Genomic DNA, 26,831 nt, shown 5'->3' with positions numbered 1-26,831 from the left:
CATCGAAGGCGCTTCCCCTTTGCAAAGCCCCCGAGCTTTATGGTATCCAGCAATTAACTGTGTGCTGCTGAGTGTGTTCTTTCATCAGACCGCTTCCCACTCCACTGTCAACACTTTCAGAACAAAGGGTACATGTTTCCAGGTCTCCTCCACAGTACCAAGAGCAGAAGGGAAACAGGCCCCTATGGATTTGTTAATTGATAGATTTTTATTTAACACCGTTCCAGCATGACCTTGACTTGAATACTCTTCCGGCAGCTTGTTCCTGCGGCTCCGGGTGCTCTGTCTCAGGAATGGCTTCAACAATCAGAGCACTTAGATACTTCACATCAGGAGTGGTCTGGAGACAGGCCCCTGAGGCTGGGGCAGAGCTTCTGAAAGCCCTCAGGGACTCAGACTACCCTTAGTGTGTTTGCTTGTTGCCTCAAGGTGCAAGACAGCTGGTGAAGTTTCAGGCTTTGTATCTCTAAGGTCAGCCCCAATGTCATTTTGATCAGAAAAGCAAAAGCTTTCCCAGGAGCCTCTAGCAAACTTCTGCTTCACCTTGTTGGCCACATGTTGTCACGTGGCCACACCTAAATGCAGGAGAGCCTGGGAAATCAACTGGGTAGGTTTTCCGCCTTTGTAGTTAAGGAGACAAAGGAAAAGTGGCTTGACAATGAATGAATGAGTGTTACATCAGTCCATCAACAGTGATCACTATACACTCTGTAGAAGGAAGACAGGAAAAAGAAACCAGACTTGACATTAACTCAGACTGGCCATTCTGAAATCTCCCCATCTCAAGTAGGACCCAGCTTAGATTTATTTGTTTCCAGGGAGACACTCTAAGTTCTTGATTATATGTAAGCACAGATGCCTAGAGATATAAAAGGCGCAGTCCTTGTCTTTCAGGCCGCCTCAGTCTGGTGGGGAGGATGGAAAGGGCTGGCAGAAATAAAGCAATTGTCTCAATATTGTGTGCTATGGTGGTCTGTGAACAGAAAGATGAGGAAGGAGGTGGCTGGGCACAGTGGCTCACGCACTTTTGGAGGCCAAGGCGGGCAGATCACAAGGTCAGGAGTTCAAGATCAGCCTGGCCAACTAATGACACCCCGTCTCTACTAAAAATACAAAAATTAGCCGGGCGCATGCCTGTAATTTGGCACATGCCTGTAGTCCCAGCTACTCGGGAAGCTGAGGCAGGAGAATTGCTTGAACACAGGAGGTGGAGGTTGCAGTGAGCTGAGATTGCACCACTGCACTCCAGCTTGGGCAGCAGAGTGAGACTTTGTCTAAAAAAAAAAAGAAAAAAAAGATGTGGAAGGAGGAGAAGCTAACTCTTGGTGGAAGGTGGTCATGGAAATCTACCCAGAGGTAGAGACATATGAGATGGAAATGGCAGTAAAATATACGAAGAAGGAGCTGGGAAGAGCATTCCAGATAGAAGAAGGTGCATGGGCAATAGCATGGTGCTGGGAAGCAAGCATAGTAAATTTTGGGAGCATCAGAGAGTTCCATTTTGCTGGAGTGTAGGGTGCCTGAAGGAGGGAGATGAAGCTGGCAGGGCCAGACCACCAAAGACATGATGTGTGCTGCGAAACGCTCAGTCTCCCACTTGGCTGCTAGGGTAGATGCTGGTGACATTTTCTGAGATGGGAATACTGAACTCAGTTGGGAATGTGGAGTTTTGGAATCTCAAGCTGTTTTTACTTTACATGAGTTTCCAGGGTGGTCTCGCCCACTTCCTTGACTTCATCTTGTGGCTCTGAAGTCTATTCTCCCTGTCCAGATTTTGCTTCTGTATTCCCAATATGCATATCCAGTGCAGTTTTTGCTGCATGGCACCATGTCTCAAATAGTAGCTTAAAACTAAAACTATTTATTTAGTCCTGAATCTGCAGGTTGGAAATTTGTTTGGGCTCAAAAATTAATGTCACCCTTAAAAACATAAAGGATGCAGGGGTGATGGTCCCCATGACATTTCCCACTTAATTCACTTGTATTAATATCTGCAAAATCCATGCAGATCATCCAACAGATGATGTAGTAACTACAGGATCCACGTGGTTGTCAGAAATGCTGCGCTTATGATGAATGCAGTATTTTTATTGGACTAGATCAGCACAGCCTCTGGCATCTTGGCTTTAACTCTGTTAATGTGTTCTTTTTCAATCTCCCTTAGTAATCAATTAGTAATCAAGAGCAGTTCGCATGTATATGGAAAGAGTAATAATACTCATTCACAGCCATGCCCCAAGCCTATGTTAACTCTCCTCTCTGTCACAATGTAATCTGCTAAGACTTTGCTCATCTTGACTTGCTGCAGAACAGCACTGTGATCCACTATATTGGTGACATCATGCTAATTGGACCTGGAAGATAGGAATATGGCATTACTCTGAATGTCCTAATGAGAAACATATGTGTCAGAGGATAGGCGATAAACCCTACAAAGATTCAGGGTGAAGGTTGTAGAGGGTCCAGCTCTGAGACACGCTGAGACATCCCTTCTGAGATAAAGAACAAGTTATTGCACCTTATACTCCTTATCACTAAGCAAGACGCATGCGTTTGATGGGTACTTTGGATTTTGGATGCAGCATATGCTACATTGAGAATACTATCCCAATCTATTTACCAAGTAATCAGAGGTTTAACAATTTCAAGCGGGGCCCAGAGGAAGAGAGGGCTCTGCATTAGGACCAGGTTGCGTGCAAGCTGGTCTGCTACTTGGCTATAGTGTTAGAGGTATCCATGGAGATAGAGTTGCTGGGTGCAGTTTCTGGCAGGTCCCAGTAGGAGATGATGACACAGACCTCTAGCTAGGCCATCCCTTCTGCATTAGAGAACTATGCATTCAAAAAGAAGCTTCTGGTGTACTTCTAGGCCCTAGTGGTCACTGACCATGGCACAGACACCAAGCGATTTCGAGACAGGAGCTGCCTGTCATAAACTGGGTATTGTTAGATTCATCAAGTCATGATAAGATTAGGCAGGCATTGCAGCAATCCACTGTCTGATGGAAGTGGTACATCCAGGCCTGAGGAGCTCTAGAAGGCACAAATTAGTCACACAAGCAGGTGGCTCAGAGCCTCTGTCACGTAACCTGTTGCACTGATGTCTCTCCTGCAGCTCACACTTAGGGCCTCATGGGGCTTCCCTATGATCAGATGATAGAGGAAGAAAACATCCAGGCCTGGTTTCTGTATGGGTAGGCTCACATGTAGGCTGGTGTGAGCTGAAAATGAACTGCTGCCACACGATACCCCTAGGCAGGGGGTCCCTAAAGGCAGTGTCAAAGGAAAATCCTCCTAGTGGGCAAAGAGCAGTGCACTTGGTTGTAAGCATTTTGTGGAATGAGAAGTGGCCTGAGGTAGAGACATACACCTACTCCTGAGCAGCGGTGAATCACTGGCTGGCCACTGAAAGATGCATCATCTGAAGACTGGGAAGAGGCACATGGATGGACCTACAGAGGTGGACACCGAGAGTGAAGATGTCTGTGTCTCACATCAGTGTTTACTTGGAAGCCTCTACCTCAGAAGAAGAACTCAGCAAGTCACTGGACAGGGTGATTTCTTTGGTGGATGTCAGCCAGCCTCTGTCCTTAGCCATTCCTGTGCTTGAGTAACGGACCCATGAATGGAGCAGTGACAGTGGTGGGGATGGAGGCCAAGCACTGGCTCAGTGGCATGGCTCCTGTTCACCAAGGCTGCTCTAGCCACTGCCTCTGCCAATTATCTAATGGGCCAACAAAGGAGTCCCCAGGAAGGCTCCATCTCTGGAGAAGATCAAATAAGTTGATTATATCAGACCCCTTCTATCCTGGAAGGGGAAGTGATTTTTCCTTAAAGAAACAAACTATTTCTGGGTTCAGGCCGGTTGTGCCATTTTGAGCTGCAGCCACGATTGCTGCGATAGGCTTAAATGATCCTCCATTTGTTTGTTTGTTTGTTGTTTGTTTGTTTGTTTCAGAGTCTCGCTCTTTCGCCCAGGCTGGAGTACAATGGCGTGATCTCAGCTCACTGCAACCTCTGCCTCCCAGGTTCAAGTGATTCTCCTGCCTCAGCCTCCCAAGTAGCTGGGATTACAGGCGTGTGCCACCACACCCAGCTAATTTTTTGTATTTTTAGTACAGACGGGGTTTCATCATGTTGGCCAGGCTGGTCTCGAACTCCTGACCTCAGGTGATCCACCAGCCTCCGCCTCACAAAGTGCTGGGATTACAGGCATGAGCCACCATGCCCGTCCGACCCTCCCTTTTTTGTTTTTGGAAATATTGTAGTCTGTCCTGTTATCTAGACAGCCTGATGTGACACATCAGGCTGTGTATCATGATATAGAAGTCTGTTAAATAGCCAAAAATAACTGCTTCCATGAACAACTTGTGGAGCAAATCTGGCTTAGTTTGCTCTTTGCTGGGGGATGTATTTTGTTAACTAGCTTTCATATGTTAATGCTATAAAAATAAGTTTTACTGCAGCCATTTGGGTTTGACTACATTTTTTAAGAGTTGTATTGAGGTTTCTGTAAGAGATGATTTAATTAAAAACCTCTATGTCCAGTGTGAAAGAAAAATATAAACGTAAACTATCTCTGGCTGTGGGTTTGCCTTCCCTGCCTACAGCAGCTCTGCCAGAACCAATGCAGAGCTGCCGGTGTTTCTGATTTCCTGAGACAGAACCCTGCCTCACATTGCCTCAGCCTAAGGGCCCTCATTTTATGGTGAAGAAGGTATGACAGTGGGCACATTCCCACAGGATCCATTGGTCCTACTTAGAATGTCACCTGGAATTACCTGGTCGGAAAGGCTTAGCAAAGGCGCTAGCCTGGAGATGACATCCCGTAGGGTGAGGGCACCTGGAGGGTGCGAAATATACACGGAACCAATGGCTGTTATGTGGCGCTCTGTCTTCATTTGTTGGAATACAGAGGTTCAGGAACCAAAGGGCAGGAGGAGGAGTGGCTCCTCTTACCGTCATTTCCAGTGACCCACTTGCAGAAATTTTGCCTTGTGCTCCTACAGCTTTAGGCTCTGCTGGATAGAAGTCCTAGTTTGCAGGAAGAGGTGAGCTCTTCCATCAAGAGACACAGGAGGGTTCCACTTGACCTGAAGATACAGCTGCTACCTGGCCACTCTGGGATCAGTGGTTCAGAAAGCAAAAATGGATTTACTATGCTGGCAGAGTGTAATCAACACTGATTTTCACAAAGAGGTTCGGTTGCGGACACTTAACGTGGATAAAAAGGAGAATGTCTGGAGCTCAGGGGATTCCCTAAGATGCATCTTGGTGCATCTATGTGCTGTAATAACACTGAATGGGCAATGAGGGACCCATGGCTTGACAAGGGCAAGGTGGCCAAGAGCCCAGAGCCTTCAGGGACAAAGATCTGCGTCACCACTTAACAAGCAGCTAGACCAGCTGAAGTGCTGGCAAAGGGCAAAGGAAGCTTGGAATGGGCAGTGGCAGTTACAGAAATGTAAATTCAAACTACACTGAGAGATTATTTCTCACTGCATAAATTTCATAGTTGGATAATAATTTCTCTTGGTGAAGATGTGGGGAAAAAGCCTGCTCACACATTACTGAGGAAGTGGAAAATGCTACAGTCCCTGTGGAGGGGAACATGACATTATCTAGCCAAATTACATGTGCATTTACCCATTTCTAGGAATCTATCCCAAGTACACACTGCCAAAAACTGGAATTGATATTAGCACAGGCTGCTTGCTGCAGTAGTATTTGTATTAGCAAAAGCCCAGAGGGATATCATCCAGAGAGCTGCACTTCTTTGTGGCAACTACTGGGAAGGGGTTAGAATCTGGACATAGCACTGAGTGATTTGTTTCTAGCTAATATGTACTGAGTACCTGCTATGTGATTGATAGTTTACATGTCACTCTATTTAGCAACCTGCACTTTCTGGAAACAAATTTGTATCAGCAATCTTTAACACAGAAATTATAAGAATACAGCATGAGAACATAACAAAAAGTGGCAACAATTCTTTATGCACAAACATGTTTCCTGCTGTATTTTTTTAAAATTTTTAAAATATTTTATCAAAATTATACGGGCACATGGTTTAAAAAAAAAGCACCAAGCAGTATAGAAGAGCTTATCATGTATAATGGTCTCAACAATCCCCAGTTCTCCACTTCCCTGTCCCCAATCTGGTCTCCAGAGACAACCAACCCCTTTGAACCATTCCTGGTTTTATATCTTAGAGGGGTTACTTTTATATCTTTAAATAAAGTGTCTGTGTGACTCTGGATTTATCAAGTTAGATATTGGTATTGGCTTCCTGCTACTAAAACACCAGGGGTTTGGTCTAGGTCCTGTGCTCACTGTACAGAAAGCCAATGACTGAGACAGCGAGTATTGCCAAGGAAGAAAGCTTTACTTGGGTACTGTAGCCTAGGAGATGGGAGCTCACTCTCAAATCCATCTTCCTGACCTGCTAAAACTAGGGGTTTACGTATCAGGGAAGAAATGTAACAATGCATAAGAAAACAGGAACTAGAAAGGGGCAGGGAAGCAATCTGAGGGGTCAAGCATCTATCTTACTGCCTTGGATGCCTGATCTGATGAGTTTCAATTCTCTTTGATACTTTTTTTTTTTTTTTTTGAGAGCCCTTAAGGTCTTTCCCTGAGGAAGGAACTCAGATAAAGCAAATATGTTTCAAACTTTAAGACCAGGAGGGTCAATGTTTATGTTTATTAAAAAAAAATCCTATGGAATTATTGGGTTGGTTTCAATAGGATCTCTTCAAGAGCAAAAACTACTTCTTTAGAGCCCCTACTACCTTTAGAGCCCCAGGACCTGGCCTTGGGACTGGCAGGGAATGAATGTTAAAAAACTTGTTAAATAAAGTAATAACCTGAGTGGGCAAGGGAGGGGAAGGCATTCAAAGCAGAGAGGAAAGCAGAGATAAAAGAACAGAGGCCCATTCTTCCCGACAAACAGGACCCTGATTTAATTCAGGGCAGCTATGTCCCCAGCTAAAATTACTCACTTCCCACACTCCCTTGGACCAAGGAGAGACCATGTGATCCTGTCCTAGCTAAAGAGATGTAAGTCAAAGTTGCTGGATGGAGCTTCAGGGAAAGTTTCAAAGGAAACTTGAGGCAGTTGGCACATCATTTGGTCTTTTTCATCCTTCTGTATTCTTTCTTCCTGGAAGAAGGATGTGATTTCTGGAGGCTTAGCAGCTATATTGCAACCACATTCTAAACATGGAGGAACAAAATAATAGGAGGAGCGAATTTTTGAAGGCATTATTCAATTTTACACTAGCCCAGAACTGCAGATCTCTAGATGGGATATTATCTGAGACTAATAGTGCTTTCATTTGTTTCAGATCATATAAGTAGGTTTTCTGTTTCTTGGGGCTGCATGTCTTCTTTACTGAGGGCAATGGAAAATGAATGGCTGAAAGTTGATAGTTGTTAATTGTACAGGAGTATTCATTATACTAGTCTCTCTACTTTTGTTTATTTCTAAAATTTTCCATAAGAAAACGTTTAAAAGAACTAGGGAAATAAAAAATACATATAAATCATCCTTGCAAATATGATTTCCAAAAAGGAGTTTTGCAACACACCTGGGCTTCAGAGGTTGTTGCTATGTCTGGTGACAGTAAGCCCTAACTTCTAAAAAGTCTGTGATCTTGATTGGTTGTCTCAGTTAATAACAATTTGCACTGCTGATGACATTTAAATTGGGATCCTTTTTTTTTTTTTTTTTTTGCAGTGGGGTGGGGGGAAGTAAAAATATCTATGAATTTTCTTTTTAGCCAGGAAGGGACCACTGGCATGCATCTTCTTCTATATACACAAGGTGAAATAAAACTACTCTGCTGGATTTCTGGTTTAAACAAAGAGTTTGAGAGTTTTGTTTCATTTAAATTGATAAACTAATGGGAAGTTAAGAGCAGAGCTTGGTTAACTCATGCTGAACTCAAGTATGAGGCAAGCAGAGGGAAGCAAAACTCACCCTCATGTACTGGATGCTTCTTGTGCATCACCTCACACCTTGTCAGTCCAGTTTTGAACCTAGCCATTGCTGCAGCCACCAGATTTATGTAGGCGTAACCCAACAGCATCATGCCTCAGCTGCAGTGTGTTTCTTTCACTTCTGCCCAGCATTTCTCTGAAGCCTCAGTGGGAAATGCCTGTGGGAACTCACAGGCACTCATGGATATGAGCCCTGAGTGTGGGAGGAATTAACAAGGGACAACATTTGCTAAGAGGAGATGGGAACCAGTGGATAAACGCTGCCCACTTCCATCCTTCTGGCAGACAATTTTTGGGTGTCCGATGGGATCAAACCAACTCATTAGGCCCGCCTTGAACTGGCTTTCCCTCCTTCTCTGGGTCTAGCTTCCCATTTCCTGTAGTGACCAACTCATCCCAGTTTGCTTGTGACTTCTCTGATTTTAGCATGGAAAATCTCACATATTAGGAAACCCTGCAGTCTACAGAAAACAGGGACAGCTGGTCACCCTACCAGTTCCTCACCCTTGCACCCTGAAGTCACCTCCCAAATAAACCCTCTTCAAGCAACTCCTTGTCTCAGGCTCTGTTTTTGGAAGGGAACTCAGGCAATGACAATGCATTTGGGTCTTGACTGAGCACGTGCCTGTCTCGATTTGTTTCTAACTAGCTCATGAAACAGAAGCACTAGGGAGCAGTGGGCCAAGAACATCTACATAGCGTCAGGAAGCAAAAACTGCAGTTTCTGTTTTCTCTTGTGGATAGAAATTGTCTTGTGGATTTTCCCAGGTATTCTTAGGTATGAATCCACAGAATACAGGTAGAGTCCAATCTGTGAACCTGCCAGCTGAGCAGATTGGAAGAGCTCTTGTGCCCCTGACTCTTGGAATGAATGCTTCTAGGTTGGATTTGTAAAATTCCAATTCTGGGTTGGAATTTTATCTGGGCCAGGCACAGTGGCTCACGCCTGCAATTCCAGCGCTTTGGGAGCCCAAGGCGGGAGGGTCTTTTGAGGCCAGGAGCTTGAGACCAGCCTTGATGACACAGGGAGACCTCATCTCTACTGAAAAAAAAAAAAAAAAAAGACAGAGAAGAAGAAAGAAAAAATAATTAGCCAGGTGCGGTAGTGCACACCTGTAGTTTCAGCTACTTAGAGGCTGAGCCAGGAGGACTGCTTGAGCCCAAGAGTTGGAGGTTGCAGTGAGCTATGATTGAGCCACAGCACTCTAGCCTGGGTGACAGACCTTGTCTCAAAATAAATAAATAAAATTTTAAAATAGAATTTTATCTGATTGGAAGGTAGAGTGCTTTCTTTCTGTTGGAATTAAGTTCCAGCTAAGTGAAGTTACCCTAGAGGTTCCAAGAGGCAAAACTCTGAACTAGACAAGGTTGTTTTGCACCAGAAACAAGGAATTCATGTCCTTAGAAGATAAATATGTGTATGACATTCAGGGAAGCTCAGGTGGCTTTGTGTTTTTCTGAATGGTTTCTTCTTTCTTTTCTTTGGGAGAAAAATGCTACTGCTCAATCTTCAGATTGTCCAATAATTTAATAATGTATTCTGTTGTTTGAGAGATTTGCTCCCCCATGCAAAAGCCCAGCTGTGTTGGGTTTGCATTGATAGGAATTGAGGGATTGAGAGTGGGGAGTCTAAGGGAATTCTGAACCCCAACAGATTTTTCAGCTTGCTTGTTTCTGGAGGATTGGTCTGGACACACCATGGATGACAAAGAAATGAGCTTGATATCAAAGATACTTTGAATTATTAAATAATTAGGCCTCCTCTGTAGGTTTATAGGAAATATAGCTAAAATGTATCTCTAGTGGATTTCCTATTCATACTGGCTTCAATAGACCACTGAGAGCTTATATAAATCTAAGATAAAGGGATTCAATGTCTCCCGGGGGAAAAATTAAGAAATTAAGCCTCACCTCCAATACTTTAAATGTGCCAGCCCTTTATGAAAAGCCCTCCAGGCTGACAGAAAAATAATAGAAAACCTTCCAAACCGCAGAACACCATGTTTGCAAAGAGACTTGAGCTGTAACTTGCACTCTGTAATTTATGCTAATACATTTAAATAGACTAAAGAAATTAGTCTTCAAAAGGATGAATCTTTTAACATTCTACTTAGAAAAAATGACTTCCGAGTGAAAACAAAATAAAGTACTCAACTGAGTATTAAAAACTCTATGTAAGAGGTGAGTTTTATATTCCTATAAGAATAAAATGAAATACGTGAAAATTACCTTGGAAAATACACTAGGTTGTTAATACAAATTTAAACACTATTCCTGTTTTCAAATCTAAGCCCTTTCTTCAAAATGTTTTTGGATAGGAAAACAGTAAACTCTAACTTTGGTTCAATGGCTTCAAGCTTCCTGCTGAGTTACAAAATAAGTATGCAGATCAGGCCCACTAATATGCAAATTCACATCAGGCCAAAAATTGGTAGTCATAAACACTTTAAGAAACCCTTCTGTCCTAAGACTTTTTTTTTCTTTTTCTTTTTTGAGACGGAGTCTTGCTCTGTCGCCCAGACTGGAGTGCAGTGGCGCAATCTCTCTGCAAGCTCCAAGCTCCGCCTCCCAGGTTCACGCCATTCTCCTGCCTCAGCCTCCCGAGTAGCTGGGACTACAGGTGCCCGCCACCACGCCCAGCTAATTTTTTGTACTTTTAGTAGAGATGGGGTTTCACCATGTTAGCCAGGATGGTCTCGATCTCCTGACCTCGTGATCCACCCGCCTCAGCCTCCCAAAGTGCTGGGATTACACGCGTGAGCCACCGTGCCCAGCCCAGTCCTAAGACTTCTAATCAATACTTAGAGAGTCTTATTACTCTATAAAATAAATACAAGGAAGCCCTTGAGCCATTCGTCAGGTGGCCAGCATGTGGCCTTGGCCCAGTGCCTCCTTGCAGTCTGTGGATTGTGCAACTGCCTTCTGTGGCTCAGGGACATGACAGCCCCATCCAGCTTATAAATGACTGAAGACAGAGATCCAGCATAGTCTTCATTTGAATTCTCTGGTTGGGAACCCCTACATACCTCATTTTTTCTCTAGAGTTCCATTTTTCTAAAGTAATATGGAGACTGATGGGTAAATGACAATGTGTGCACATATAACAGACATTCTCTTTATTTTTCTCCTTCCTTCCTTCCTTTTTCCCAACATTCCTCCCTCCTTCCCTCCCTTCCTCCCTTCCACCCTCCTTCCCTTCCCACCCCTCCCCTCCCCTTCCTCCCTCCCTCCATCCCTCCTTCCCTCCCTCCTTCCCTCTCTCCCTTCCTCCCTTCCTTCCTTCCTTTCTTTTTTTTTTTTAGAGACAGGACCTCACTCCGTTACGCAGGCTGGAGTTCAATGCCACAGTCATTACTTCACTGCAGCCTCAAACTCCTGGGCTTAAGCAATCCTCCCGCCTCAGCCTCCTGATTAGGTAAGACTATAGGTGCACACCATCACACTCAGCTAGTTTTTAGTAGAGGCAGGGTTCTCACTATGTTGCCCAGGCTCGTCTTGAACTCCTGGCCTCAAGCAATCCTCCCACCATGGCCTTCCAAAGTGCTGAGATTATAAGTGTGAGCCACCATGCCTAGCCTACTGACATTGTTTTTCAACTTCTTAGTTTCTTTAAGGGTGTTTTCTCTTTATTTTATCTTGATGACCCACCGCTTTCACAAGTCAATGAAAACAATATACTGGCTTGGTGAAAACAGTTCCAGATCCACCTGAAGAGACTTGGGTGCTCTGGGTTTCAGAAAGGCCAGGGTTAAATGTGCACCCGGGCCCCTGGTGGCTGCACTTGCCTACCGCAGACTACTAAATGCTAATGGAGCAAACTCCAGTTGCTGATCCATCCTAGAGCTGGAGTCTTCACTCTGCTGATTCAAAAGAACACCAGAGCATTTTCTAACCTGTACACAAATCTGCTCTGTGGATGGGAACCCTACTACCCTCTCCTGCACACAACCACTTCAGTCAGTGTGCTCAAATAGTTCTCACTTGATCATTTTTGAGGGAAATACCAGGCACAATTTAGTTGTTTTAATCCTAAGAGAAAAATGTTGGTTTCTGCTGAGTCAGTATCTGGTATTTTAACTAGCTTAGCTTTCCCTGCGGCTCAGGCCAAGGGTGTGCCTTCCTGGAGTGAAGGACTTTCACAGCCCAGCTCTCTGGTATGGACCCAATGTCACTGACTACTGATTCTGCTCAGGTAACTCTCACCCTCACTCTCAGGGATTACTTCTGGATATTGGTTTTGTTTGACCAAGAATCTTGCCAGAATCCTAAATCTGCATGGGTCCCTGAGAATCCTTGTATTCAGGAGGATGAACGTGTTCTGTGTATGAATGTGTATCTTGTGTGATCCTTCTCAGCTTAGCAATTCATTTTTAAAACGCATAACAGAAGCCCTCATGGCAAGAGTGCAGCTGAGGGGAGCAAATTAGCTTTGAAATTAGCTGCTGTTTTGGAGTTTGCTGTGATTTGTGGTTTGGGAGGAAAGGGAAAACAAGGAAGTAAAAGCCATCTAATCTGGCCTGTGTACATCCTTTATCAGGAGTTCTCCTTATTTGTCCTCCAGGTATCTTGCAACAATGTGCCTTTATCAGTTAGGGATTTTACAGGCAAAGCTCTCAAATAATATACAAAGTAGAAAAGTAAATAAATACAAGGAAATTAAATGCTAATGCCTGTGCCCTTGATATTATCTGTGAAGGCAAATCCTTTGATAAAATAAATTGTATTGTGAATTTTAGTTTAAAGATGACTGTAGGTCTTCTCCCTGATTTTACCACAGTGAGAAACAAAAATGCAAATTTTGGATTTCAGTTCCTGAAAGACTTTGAAATTAGTTTTTTAATCCCTGCAAAAGCCAAATGAAGTAAACTTTCCAAATTTCCTGATTATCATTACTTGCACTAATATTTAAGAGTATGTCAATGTAAATGTGAGTATTCAACTAGTTGAATTATTTAAAAGAACAAGTATTCTATAAATTGGTTATTGTATTGGTGGAATTCATATAATATTGCAAAATTGTGTAAATTTATAGTTAATCCAGTTAAAGTGGATAATGCTTTGTTACCATATTTCTCTTATGAATTCTTATCATCAGTTTTTTGTTTTTTGTTTTTTGTTTTTTTTTTGAGATGGAGTCTTGCTCTGTCGCCCAGGCTGGAGTACGGTGGCACAATCTCGGCTCACTGCAAGCTCTGCCTCCTGGGTTCACGCCATTCTCCTGCCTCAGCCTCCCGAGTAGCTGGGACTACAGGCGCCTGCCACCAAGCCCAGCTAATTTTTTGTATTTTTAGTAGAGACGGGGTTTCACCGTGTTAGCCAGGATGGTCTCGATCTCCTGACCTCATGATCCACCTGCCTTGGCATCCCAAAGTGTTGGGATTATAAGCGTGAGCTGCCATGCCCGGCCTATCAGTGTTTAATGTTAACAATATATTTTTAAATCTGTAAATGATTCTGATCATAGACGATCATTTACCCATCAACCATAGAATATATATTCTTCTCATCTGTACACGGAACATACTCCAAGATCAACCACATGCTTGACCATAAGGTAAGTCCCAATTAGAAAAAAAAGAAATACCACCAACCGTAGTCTCAGATCAGAGTGGAACAGAAACAGACATCAATACAAAGAAGATCTGTCAAAACCACACAATTACATACAAATTAAACAACTTGTTCCTGAAAAACTGTTGGCTAAACAATGAAATTAAGGTAGAAATCAAAAAATTCTTTGAACTAAATGAAAACAGAGACACAACATACCAAAATCTCTGGGATTCAGCAGAAGTGGTATTAAGAGGAAAGTTTATTATGCTAAATGCCTACCTCAAAAAGTTAGACAGATCTCAAATTAACAGTCCAACCTCACACCTGGAGGAACTAGAAAAACTAACCCCAAAGCTAGCAGAAGAAGAGAAATAACTAAAATCAGAGTATCACTGAATGAAATGGAGACCCAAAATCCATACAAAGAATCAATGAAACCAAAAATTGATTCTTTGAAAGGATAAACAAGATCCATAGACTGCTAGCTAGATAACAAGGAAAAAAACAGAGAAGATCCAAATAAGCACAATCAGAAATGACAAAAGTGACATTACAACCAATCCCACAGAAATACAAATTATTCTCAGACTATTATAAACACCTGTAGGCACACAAACTAGAAAATCTAGAGGAAGTTGAAAAATTCCTGGAAACACAAAATCTCCCAAGATTTAATCAGGAAGAAATTGAAATTCTGAACAGACCACTATAGGGTTCCAGAATTGAATCAGTACTTTTAAAAACCTGCTAATCCCAAAAAGCCCTGGACCAGATGAAGTCACAGCTGGATTGTACCAGACATAAAAAGAAGAACTGGTACTAATCCTATGGAAACCGTTCCAAAAAATTGAGGAAGAGGTACTCCTCCCTAACTCCTCCTCCTGCCCTATGAAGCCAGCATCACCCTGATTCCAAAACCTGGCAAAGATACAATGAAAAAAGAATACTTCAGGCCAATATCCCTGATGAACATGGACACAAAAATCTTCAACAAAGTACTAGCAAACTGAAACCAGCTAATTCGCTATGATCAAGTAGGCTTCATTCCTGGGACGAAAGGCTGGTTCAACATACATGAACCAATAAGCGTGATTCACCAGACAAACAAAATTAAAAGCAGAATCCATATGATCATCCCAATAGACACAGAAAAGCTTTTGATAAAATTTAACATCCCATCATGATGAAAACTCTCAAGAAACTAGGCATCAAAGGAACGTACCACAAAATAATATGGGCCATCTATGACAAACCCACAACCTATATCATACTGAATGGACAAAAACTTGGAGCATTCCCCTTGAGAGCTGGAACAAGACAAGCATACTTAACTTTCACCACTCCTTTCAACATAGTACTGGAAGTCCTAGCCAGAGCAATCAGGCAAGAGAAAGAAATAAAAGGCATCCCACGGCCAGGTGCGGTGGCTCACGCCTGTAATCCCAGCACTTTGGGAGGCTGAGGCAGGCAGATCACAAGGTCAGGAGATCAAGACCATCCTGGCTAACATGGTGAAACCTGGTCTCCACTAAAAATACAAAAAATTAGCTGGGCGTGGTGGCGGGCACCTGTACTCCCAGCTACTCAGGAGGCTGAGGCAGGAGAATCACTTGAACCCGGGAGGTGGAGCTTGCAGTGAGCCGAGATCACGCCACTGCACTCCAGCCTGGGCAACAGAGCAAGACTCCATCTCAAAAAAAAAAAAAAAAAAAAGGCATCCCAATAGGCAAAGAAGTCAAACTATTTCTGTTTGCAGACGACATGATTTTATAACTAGAAAACTCTAAAGACTTTACCAAAAAGCTCCTGAAACTGATAAACCACTTCAGTAAAGTTTTGGAATACAAAATCAACATAGAAAAATTAGTAGCATTCCTATACACCAAAACTGTTCAAGCTGAGAGTCAAATCAAGAATACAATCCCATTTACAATAGTCACAAAAAGAATAAAATACTTAGGAATACATCTAACCAAGGAGGTGAAAGACCTATACAAGAAGAACTACAAAACACTGCTGAAATAAATTATAGATGACACAGACAATGGAAAAACATTCCATGTTCATGGATTGGGAGAATCAATATTGTTAAAATGGCCATATTGCCCAAAGCAACCTACAGATTCAATGGTATTCCTATCGAGATACCAATGTAATTTTTCACAAAACTAGAAAAAAACTATTCCAGAATTCATATGGAACAAAAAAAGAGTCTAAATAGCCAATGCAATTCTAAGCAAAAAGAACAAAGCCAGAGGCATCACATTACCCAACTTCACACTATACTATAAGGCTACAGTAACCAAAACACCATGGTACTGATACAAAAACAGACACATAGACCAATGAAGCAGAATAAAGAACCCAGAAATGGCCCGGCACGGTGGCTCATGCCTGTAATCCCAGCACTTTGGGAGGCTGAGGCGGGTGGATCACAAGGTCAGGAGATCGAGACCATCCTGGCTAACACGGTGAAACCCCGTCTCTACTAAAAAAAAATACAAAAAAATTAGCCAGCGTGGTGGCAGGTGCCTGTAGTCCCAGCTACTTGGGAGGCTGAGGCAGGAGAATGGCATGAACCTGGGAGGTGGAGCTTGCAGTGAGTGGAGATTGCACCACTGCACTCCAGCCTGGGCGACAGAGTGAGACTCCGTCTCAAAAAGAAAGAAAAAAAAAAAAGAATATCACAACTCTATTTCATAGAACAGCCTCCAACTGCTAAACTATGGCTATTCTTTAACTTTGCCACCTTGATTTCCTTTTATTTCTCTTTTGCCCTTTAAGCTTCCAGCACATAATCTCTAAAAACTTTCTGGCTTTCCAATCAGCTGAAATGTTTCGCCTGAAAATTCTTGAAACCTTCCCAGAATCTTGATGTTGCACAATTATAGTGGAAACTACTAGAAAGGCTAGAGACTTTGGGTAGAGCCGAAGTGGTCAAGACACCTGATGCCCAGGAGAATGGAAGAAGCCTAAACCAAGGACCTGGTCTTTAGAGATCACGCTCTGTTATTTTCAGCCATTGTTTAATTCCAGTCATCATTTATTGACTGGACCGAGGAGAAACAAGTCCTTCAACCACGAGGAGAGACTCTGAAGCCCAGTTTGCTCATTCCCACCTGAGGTGGATGTCCTAAGGAGGCCCGAGGCTAAGCATGCCGCTGATCTCTTCTACAAGTTGATGTCTGTTGGGTATGTGTGTGATGACTTGAAAGAGAAGAAACTTAGAGAAGTGCTGTCAAATTGTGGAAAGGGAGAAGTAGAGGAGCAAAAAGAGATGTTTGATGAAGCTCACAAGGACAAGATGGAAAGTGAAAATGGAAGGGTTGTAGATGTTTGGAGACAGAAGAAAAATAAACACCAAAGGAAAGAGCCCTCACATACTCTGGAATCTTGTGCCTTCTTGAATTGAATAAAAATTGTACAAAATATTGCATGGTCTGGCAATAATAGTTTATGTCACAGTATCGCTTATAATATGTTACCTAAGTTGCAACCTTAAAGGATGCATCAAAACCTTTCTCACCTGGATATTAAACAAATAATGTAATGAAAATATAGGAACAAGGGGTACAGAATCTCATGCAGATTCAAAGCTAGGATAAAATGTTGCTTAAATAGCAGAAACTTAATAAGGTCTAGTGGCCAATCTTACAGGTGAAATAATATGTTATTGTTTCCATTTACATTTCCATGGCAATTTGCATAAAATGAGCATTTAAAAATGTTTTTATCATGTTAAATTGCTAGTTCATTTGTTTTTCCAATTTTTCTTTTTTTTGAGATGGAGTCTCGCTCTGTCACCCAGGCTGGAGTGCAGTGGCGTGATCTTGGCTCACTGCAAGCTCCACTTCCCTGGTTCACACCATTTTCCTGCCTCAGCCTCCCGAGTAGCTGGGACTACAGGCGCCTGCTACCACGCCTGGCTAATTTTTTTGTATTTTTTAGTAGAGATGGGGTTTCACCGTGTTAGCCAGGATGGTCTCGATCTCCTGACCTTGTGATCCGCCCGCCTCAGCCTCCCAAAGTGCTGGGATTACAGGCCTGAGTCACCGTGCCCGGCCCTATTGTTTTTTTCTTTTCTTTTTTTAATGTATTTGTAGATATTCTCTACATGTTAAACATCTTGGAAAGATTCTTTCCCAATCTACTTCTGCATTGTAAGCTTGTTTGTGGTGTCTTCTGACACTCAGAAGTTTAAATGTTTGATTCTGACTTAATTTACTTGCTGTGTAAAAGGAAAATTTTTGACTTACAGAAGCACTTGCCTAGGAGATATAAAAACTGCATGTTTTATCTCATTACAAGTGGGTTTTCCCTGTTGAAGTTGATAAATAATCATGAACTTTTAATGACTCTTGCATGCCAGATGGTAAACGAGGACTCTTTCCTGAACAAGAAACAATAGGATTTCTTTTTTTTTTTCTTTTGAGATAGAGTTTTGCTCTTGTTGCCCAGGCTTGAGTGCAATGGCACGATCTCAGCTCACTGCAACCTCCGCCTCCCAGGTTCAAGCAATTCTCCTGCCTCAGCCTCCCGAGTAGCTGGATTACAGGCATGCGCCACCACGCCCGGCTAATTTTCTATTTTTAGTAGAGACAGGGTTTCTCCATCCTGGTCAGGCTGGTCTCGAACTCCTGACCTCAGGTGATCTGCCCACCTCGGCCTCCCAAACTGCTGGGATTACAGGTGTGAGCCACCGTGACTGGCCAACAATAGGATTTCTTTTAGCCAATTATATGCAGACTTATGAACTCAATCTATCCTATCTGGAATGCCATTTTTTACTGCTTAATTAGTACAACTCCTACTAATACTTAAGAATCCCTGGTCTTTCCCTGGTGTGTTCCCTTCCTTTGTTTCTTACCTCTATTCTATTCTTTGACAGTCAATCATATAACCTCTCAGTACCTCAACTGTAAAATTGGAAAATAACAGAACTTACCTCATTGGGTCATGATGAGGATTAGATGAGTAAACACGTAAAGTGCTTAGAACAATGAGTGCCTGATATACAGCAATCACCCAATACATTTTAGGTATTTGTGTTATTATTATATGTCAAATTTATTTATTTTTCTTTATTTGTTTGTGCTTTTTGGTCTTATTTAAGAAAGACTTCCCCAATCAATGGGGCATATTACAAATCTTCCTCCTCTCTTTACCTTCCAGGCCTCTGGAAAGCCCCTTTGGAAGTTGGGTGTAGCCATGTGGCTTTCTTGAATCAGTGAAATGTGAGCAAATTGATGGTGTCGCTTCTGGGCAGAAGTGGTGAGATCCAGGAATCCGACAGGCCACCCACCCACTCCCTGCATTCTCATTTCCTGCCTTGGTAATTGTAAAAGGATGTTCTGTGATGTTGTTGCCTGAATTAGGCAGGGACAATAAATACATTTTTTGGACGGGTAAAAAATATCTTCCATTCCTAATGTTAAAAAATATTCTTCTACTTTTTTTTTTTTTTTTTGAGATGGAGTTTCACTCTGTCGCCCAGGCTGGACTGCAGTCGTGCAATCTCGGCTCACTGCAAGCTCCGCCTCCCAGTTCAAGTGATTCTCCTGCCTCAGCCTCCCAAGTAGCTGGGACTACAGGTGCCAGCCACCATGCGTGGCTAACTTTTGTATTTTTAGTAGAGACGGGATTTCACCATGTTGGCCAGGATGGTCTCGAACTCCTGACCTTGTGATCCACCCACCTTGGCCTCCCAAAGTGCTGGGATTACAGGCATGAGCCACCACACCTGGCCTACATTTTTAATAATAGCTTTAGAGGCCAGGCACGGTGGCTCACGCCTGTAATCCCAGCACTTTGGGAGGCTGGGTCGGGCAGATCACAAGGTCAGGAGATCGAGACCATCCTGGGTAACATGGTAAAACCCCATCTCTACTAAAAATACAAAAACAAAATTAGCTGGGTGTGGTGGCAGGTGCCTATAGTCCCAGCTACTTGGGAGGCTGAGGCAGGAGAATGGTGTGAACCCAGGAGGCGGAGCTTGCAGTGAGCTGAGATCACGATACTGTACTCCAGCCTGGGCAACAGAGCGAGACTCCGTCTCAAAAAATAAAAATAATAATCATAATCATAATAAACAATTTCAGAGGTTTATTTTCTACATTTATGTCTTTAATTTCTTTGGGATTACTTTTATGTATGACGTGTCAAAAGAGAAACAACACATTTAATTTAAAGATCTAATTGGTGGCCAGGCATGGTGGCTGACGCCTGTAATCCCAACACTTTGGGAGGCCAAGGTGGGTGGATCATTTGAGGTCAGGAGTTCAAAACCAGCCTGGCCAACATGGCAAAACTCTGTTTCAACTAAAAATACAAAAATTAGCTAGATGTGGTGGCGTATGCCTGTAATCCCAGCTACTTGGGAGGCTGAGGCAGGATAATTGCTTGAACCCAGGAGGCGGATGTTGCAGTGAGCCCAGATTGTGCCACTGCACTCCAGCCTGGGCAACAGAGTGAGACTCCATCTCAAAAAAAAAAAGAAAAATCGAATTGGCTTTTATTAGCAATTCTAGAACCGGGCAAAGTCTCATTCTAGAAAACAGAATGGGGGTCGTGATGAGCTGAGCAGAGGGAGTGGGCTTTATGGGTAGAAAAGGGCTGAAGAAAGCAGAAATAAAGAACAGAAAATGGATTGGTCATTTAAAGTTTCTTTTCTCACAGGGTTAAAACAGAAATGACTTCCTTATCATACAGGCTCAGGTAAACTGGGCCCTTTCTGATTGGTTTCTGTGACTCTCCTGGGCTTTTTTTGGAAACTGACCCGTTTCAAAGTTCACTTTGATTATGTGGCAGCTAGCACCAGTGAGTCCATTCTGGTTTGCTTTGGTTTGTTGGGGCCTGGTGAAGAAACTTAGGCCAAAACAATGGCCTCCCATGAATTTTACTTAACAGGTGCAAAGCAGGAATCCAATTCAATTTCTTTTTCTTTTTTCATATTAACAGACAGGGGTCCCAACCATTCAGTGACTCGTCCTTTCCCCTGTAGTTTGTGAGGCCCTCCTGCCATAGACCTAAGGCCTGTGTTTACATGGGTCTTTTTCTTGACTCTATTCTCTCTGATGGTGTTTTTGTCTATTATTGCACCATCCTACTATTTGGTGCTACTTACCATTTCTTTGTAATTTGTCTCAATAGCTGCTAAGCCAAGGGCAGTGTAGTCTTCAGGCATGGAGAGTGGAGGATAAGGAGTGTGTGAAGTTCTGTGCATCTTAGCCAAACCCACCCTTGGCAAGTATAGCACGTAGCCTTCCCTGCTCTATCCAGACATCAGAACGTGCCTGTTCATTTCCTCAGAGACAATCAGAGTAGGCAGAGGCAAGGACTAGATTTGGGAGCTATTATTAAAATTAATTGACAGGGCTTGGTAGCTGCCTGAATTTTTGGTGGAGTAGTAAAGGAGGAGAGATTTTTCTAGGACAGCCCTTGTATTTCTGGCTCAATCAACCAGTCTTGCAAGGAAACCTAAGAGAAATGTACAACATGAGCCTTCTCAACTGTGAAAATGCCAGCATCAAGTCTAATGTTTTAGGACAATTTCTTGAGCAAATAATACAACCTATAGAAATATCTCGTCACAGAAAAGCAAGGCATGATTATAAATGGTTTATTTCTTTAGATTATAACATCACAATTAAATTGCATTTTTAAGACTGTTACTGCTGACAGTGCATGGAAGTATTGCTTTTTAATCATAGCGAAGTGTTAGGAGACCAGGGTGTTATCTTAGGTAGTGAATTTTAAGAAAGTGCTCACTTTTGCAGCCAGACTCACTAGTTTCCTCATTTGTCTGTGGGTACTGTGAGCACTAATGTAGACCACAAAAACTATCCTACCCTTTCTAATACTGCCAGTGCCAGAGAGCCAATCAAGGCCCCGCCTCTTTGCCTCCCTCCCACACCCCTGCTCCACAAACTCCATGCAGAACCAGGCACCAGGCGGGGCAGTCACAGCTCAGCAAGGAGAAGCAGCAGGATGAGGAGATCTGGCAGCTGCAGAAGGAACATGGGGCCTGCTCTCATTCCTGCAGATGGGAAGGAGAGAAGGAAAGGATTCTGCATGGGAATTCTCAAGACACGGGCCTCCCAAACTTTTAGAGCTTCATCTTAAGGTAAAACAAACAAACAAACAACAACAACAACAAAAAACAACAACAACAGGGGCCAGGCACGGTGGCTCATGCATGTAATCCTAGCACTTTGGGAGGCCGAGGTGGGAGGGTCGCTTGAGCCTGGGAGTTTGAGACCAGCATGGGCAACATGGCGAGACCTTGTCACTACAAAAAAATTAAAAATTAGCTGGGTATGGTCATGTCTACCTGTGGCCCCAGCTACTCAGGAGGCTGAGGTGGGAGGATCACTTAAGTCTGGGAGTTCAAGGCTGCAGTGAACTATGATCACACCACTGCACTCCAGCCTTGGCGACAGAGCAAGATGCTGTCTCAAAAAACAAAAACAAACCCAAAAAGGTGGGCTCTAGGGGCTCACTAGACCTAGTTAGACCCTTGCCTTTTCAGGATTCATGAAGTACTCAGAAATACAGGGGAGAGAGAAGCTGTGAGGACACTTGCTTTTGGTTCTTCAATTTAAGGTCACCTCAAGTTGACTGAGCTCTCAGGCCTGATGAGTCCTTCATCTTTCCATGGCCACTTTCCAGACCTGGGCTCCCAGTCACCGGTGACTCAGTGAGAAAGGCCTCCCCTATCTGGGGCCTGCAGCTCCCCTGGCCATTGTGGCCTCCACACTTGTCTTTCTCACCCAAGAAGAGGTTTTTGAATTTGTATCTCTTGGAAGTCAATCTTTTGCAGTCACATATGTACTCCTGTCCCTACAGCTGATGTTAACCGGAGTTGGTGGGATCTGGCTTCCTCACCTGGGGTTCTCAGTCTTCCTGAATCTGAACACCAACCATTTGGCTCCAGATGGAGAGTAGCATCTTTCCTCCGCTGGACTGTCTACCTGGCTATCCTATTTTCATTAGACTTGATCCAAATTCAAAATCTCTCTATGTAAAAGCTCAGAGTTCCCCTGTAATTCCTCTCTGTGGTCCCATTTCTACCCCAAAGATTTCTTGTGTTTCCAGCACCCCTTCAGAAAATAAGGACTAATTTGATCTCAGTTTGCTGGGTACTCAATCCCTCTGCAGCTCAGATTCACTTCTGGATGGACTCCTGGCCTCTCAACAAAGCTTAACTCACTTCACCAGCATGTGCTGGAGCCCCCATTCCAGCCAGGCATTATGGCAAGCCCTAAGTGCAGATGGAAAGGGAGGCAAAGTCTCCACACTGTAAACAAATGGTTATCATATAAATGGTGAGTGTATGGCTGAGATGTGCACAGGGGAAAAAGAAAAGTAGTATTTGTTGAGCAATGTCTGTGTGCCAGGCAATAAGTTACAAATATCTCTCTTAATATTCACAGCAACACTACTGAAGTATTTGTTACTCATACCCACATCTTTCAAATGAGGAAATTGGGGCACAGATTGCTCAGGTGACTGGCGTAGAGTCACAGAGCTGGTGATGGCTGAGTCCAGATTACCACTGAGGTGGTCTGACTCCAAACCTACAGCACGGAGCATGGTACAATGTTTACTTTTGCCTGAAAGTGTTAAGAAAGGCTTACCACTGGAAGAGACATCTGAGGTAGGTCCTGAAAGATAATTACCGTACTGAAATTGATGGTGTTTTAGATGGGATGAAATATGATGTGCAGTCAAAGGAGGGACGAGACTTCAGGCCACAAAGAATGACGGGTGCAAAGGCACAAAGACCTAAAAGCCATGCCATGTGGGAAAGGAAAGGGTGGGTAAAGTGCTCATGCTGGCACTTCTCACCATCAGGGTCTGGGAGGAGTACTAGCCTCTCCTGATGCCCTCCATTATCATTGCCAACCATGACTGCTCTGCCTTACTGAGGTCCCTGTCCTCTGGTTGTACCACCTCTAACCTTCCTCAGCCTAGCCATCCTCCCTATGTGTCTGGTCTATTGTGTGGCCCATTTGTGCAAAACCTTTCCATTTTTCAATCTCCTCACTCCAACACCATCCATCTCTCTTCTGTCTAGCCAACCTTTTCTATGGAAATGTCCTCTTGCCTGCCCAGAATCTGTAAACTAGCTACACTGGAAATCTCAAGCCTACCAATATGTTTTCTGAGCACCCCTCTCAGTCTGCCCAGCTTTCACTCTCTTCCTCCTAAAGCACCTCATAGAGAGCACCAGTTCCCAGACCTGCCTCCATCACTGCAGCCACCTGCTCAGTTTAGGCACCCTCATCTCTTGCCCCGATTCCTGCAGCAGCCACAGCCTTCTGCCCGGAACCAGGTCTCCCAACTCTCCTGGCCCTCTGATGTGTCCCCCAACATAGCAGTAGTTTCCATAACTCATTCTGCCCAGCAGATCTTTTCGACCTTTCTGCATGCAGGGAGGTTGGGAGCTTCACTGGGCTAGAGGCTGCCCTGTTGATACGGAAGTGCTGGGAAGGGAAGAGCAGGGTCCCTTTAAATCCTTTAAATGATATGGAAGGAAGGAAGGGAAGTGCTGGGTAGAGAATGGTGTGGTCCCTGGCTAGGGTTCCACCCCCACGGACCTAGGTGAGGACAGGCACTCCTGCCTTCGTGCCCAAATGTTGCATTTCCCAAGACCACCCTGGCCTGCCATGCCCCCAACCCTGTGCCTATAAAACCAACTCTCGGCCGGGCACAGTGGCTCACACCTGTAATCCCAGCACTTTGGGAGGCCAAGGTGAGTGGATCACGAGGTCAGGAGTTCAAGACCAGCCTGACCAACATAGTGAAACCCCATCTCTACTAAAAATACAAAAATTAGCTGGACATGGTGGCCTGCGCCTGTAATCCAAGCTATTCAGGAGGCTGAGGCAGGAGAATCGCCTAAACCCAGGAGGAGGAGGCTGCGTTGAGCCGAGATGGCACCGCTGCCCTCCAGCCTGGGTGACAGAGTGAGACTCTGCCTCAAAGAAAACAAAAAACAAAAAAAAAATCCCCTGCCCCCCAGACCCTAGCAGGCAGACACACAAGTGGCTGTGGCTGGACATCGTGAGGAACACATGGGTGGAAGAAGACACAGAGGCAGCTGGACGTGGAGAGGAGCACATCAGCGGAGGAACACACCAGCACACAGCAGCTGGATGTTGTGAGGAAAGCACTGACAGGCACCAGCACGATGGCAGGCCACTGACTGGCAGGACAACGGGGAGTTTGGCCAGGGCAGTTGGAGGGGAGCCCAGGCCTCCCAGCAGCCCAGGTCCAAGGGAAAACCATCTCCCTTCTGGCTCCCTGATGGGCAGAGAGGTACTTCCACTCAGTAAAATCTTGCACTCATTCTCCAAACCCAGGTGTGATCCGATTCTTCAGGTACACCAAGGCAAGAACCCAGGATACAGAAAGACCTCTGACCTTGTGACAAGGTAGAGAGTCTAATTGAGCTGGTTAACACAATCTGCCTATGGACAGCTAAACTAAAAGAGCAAAACTAAAAGAACACCCTGTAACACAGGCCCACTGGGGCTTCAGGAGCTGTAAACATTCACCCCTAGACACTGCTGTGGGGTCAGAGCCCCACCACCTGCCCATCTATATGCTCCCCTAGAGGTTTGAGCAGTGGAGTACTGAAGAAGCAAGCAATTTCCCCTGTCACATGCCCTGTTAGGGGGACAAAAGAACCTTTCCCATTTCACTGTGTCTCTGTGCCTGGGCTCTGCTCTCTATTCTGGGACATTAGCCCAGTCCTTTCAGGAACCTAATACATTTCAGCAGTTGATTGGAGGCCCAGGGTTCTGTGCCCTGGCTGCATCTGATAGGAGGGCATCCCCTCCTCCATTCCATGATGGCCCCACCACTCGCACCTCCAATGCAGACCCAGACTCACCTGAGCTGTTGAAATTGCTGTCTTGTTTTCTGGGATTTTTAGTAGAACCATCGCAGAAACAATTGAAGTTACTCCTTATTTTCTTAGAACTTTCAAGCAAAATTTTATTGTGTTTTTTATTTGTTTGTTTAATGGTAACTTTCTGATACACCTTATACTCTCAAAAAAGAATTAGCACTTCTTCATGAGGATAGAAAGAGAAGTTTTTGATTTTAACACCCAGGCAGGTTGTGATGATAAATAGTGTCCCCTCTTCACCAAGAAATGGTGGTGACACAGATACATTTCGAGATGAAGATGATGAAGTAAATTGCCCAAATCATACATTCCCTTCCCCACTGTAATCAAATTTGGTTTTAGAGCCTCTGTAAACTCTGTTACAATTCCCTGTAGTGAGAAGCTGAAGAGCACTTGTCAGATAATAATGGAAGGCTTTAAACTGAAAGTTGTGTGAATTTTGAAGGAATTCTCTTACAGCTTTGTTACAATCATTTGCAGTGTTCCCAGTATAGGCCACTAGAGCTGTTTCATGGAAATCACTGAGTTTTTCAGAATAGCTTATTTTGTTTTTGAGTTGCTTCCATGTTTCCGACTTTTTCTAGTCAATGTTTAAATTTGTATTCACTCTCAGTTCTTCTTTTAACAGCTGGGGCACCCTTTTCTCCATTTCTTCAACACAACCCACGCACTGGTCATCAAACACATTGTCAGCCATGTCCAGCTTGGCTGGCTGTCCCAGGCTGGTCACCTGTTAAGAAGGAGTAGAGGCCGGGTGTGATGGCTCCCGCCTGTAATTCTGGCACTTTGGGAGGCCGTGGTGGGTGGATCACCTGAGGTCAGGAGTTCAAGACCAGCCTGGCCAATATGGTGAAACCCTGTCTCTACTAAAAATACAAAAAAAAAATTAGCTAGGCCTGGTGGCATGCACCTGTAATCCCAGCTACTCAGGAGGCTGAGGCAGGAGAATCGCTTGAACCTGGGAGGTGGAGGTTGCAGTGAGCCCAGATTGTGCCACTGCATTCCAGCCTGAGCAACAGAGCGAGACTCCATCTCAAAAAAAAAAAAGAAGGAGTAGAGGCCCTTGACCTGCTGGGAAAGTGTGTTGCAAGCTGCCCAGAGCCCACAGCATGGGCTTTAGCTCAGTATGAAATTTCACAGGTTCCCCTCATAGGACTCATGTATGGCACATGTATGAACCATCTTATGACACTATTAGTAGTATAAAGAGAAAAGCTAAGCTTTGTGACTGTTCTGTTTAGTAGTGCTATTTTTTTTTCTTATTTTGAGACAGAGTCTTGCTTTGTTCCCCAGGCTGGAGTGCAGTGGCATGATCTCGGCTTACTGCAACCTCTGCCTCCCGAGTTCAAGTGATTCTCCTGCCT

At 44.0% G+C, this 26,831-nt stretch overlaps 1 long non-coding RNA gene and 1 pseudogene across 2 annotated transcripts, besides 2 other annotated features; one reads left to right on the top strand and one right to left on the bottom strand.

The window, feature by feature from the left end:
• Positions 10,968-11,468: an enhancer, noted in NCBI's record as "H3K4me1 hESC enhancer chr11:72246715-72247215 (GRCh37/hg19 assembly coordinates)". NCBI's record gives its function as "activates a minimal SCP1, AML or CMV promoter by ChIP-STARR-seq in naive H9 embryonic stem cells {active_cell/tissue: H9 hESC(naive)}" and the evidence as "EXISTENCE:reporter gene assay evidence [ECO:0000049][PMID:30033119]".
• Positions 11,469-11,969: an enhancer, noted in NCBI's record as "H3K4me1 hESC enhancer chr11:72246214-72246714 (GRCh37/hg19 assembly coordinates)". NCBI's record gives its function as "activates a minimal SCP1, AML or CMV promoter by ChIP-STARR-seq in naive H9 embryonic stem cells {active_cell/tissue: H9 hESC(naive)}" and the evidence as "EXISTENCE:reporter gene assay evidence [ECO:0000049][PMID:30033119]".
• LOC105369376 (uncharacterized) lies at positions 12,102-23,275 on the top strand. Of its 2 annotated transcripts, XR_950284.3 has the most exons (4): positions 12,102-12,192; positions 18,726-18,885; positions 21,490-21,675; positions 22,985-23,275. It is a non-coding gene; the product is annotated as an uncharacterized LOC105369376 (long non-coding RNA). The 2 variants fall into 2 exon arrangements; XR_007062769.1 differs by lacking the exons at positions 21,490-21,675; positions 22,985-23,275 and having other exon boundaries at positions 18,726-18,966.
• Positions 25,499-26,188, bottom strand: ART2P (ADP-ribosyltransferase 2, pseudogene; annotated as a pseudogene).

The sequence above is a fragment of the Homo sapiens genome, chromosome 11 (assembly GCF_000001405.40).
Source record: "Homo sapiens chromosome 11, GRCh38.p14 Primary Assembly".
In the NCBI taxonomy this organism is placed as follows: Eukaryota; Metazoa; Chordata; class Mammalia; order Primates; family Hominidae; genus Homo; species Homo sapiens.
This window is presented reverse-complemented; position numbering and strand designations above follow the sequence as displayed.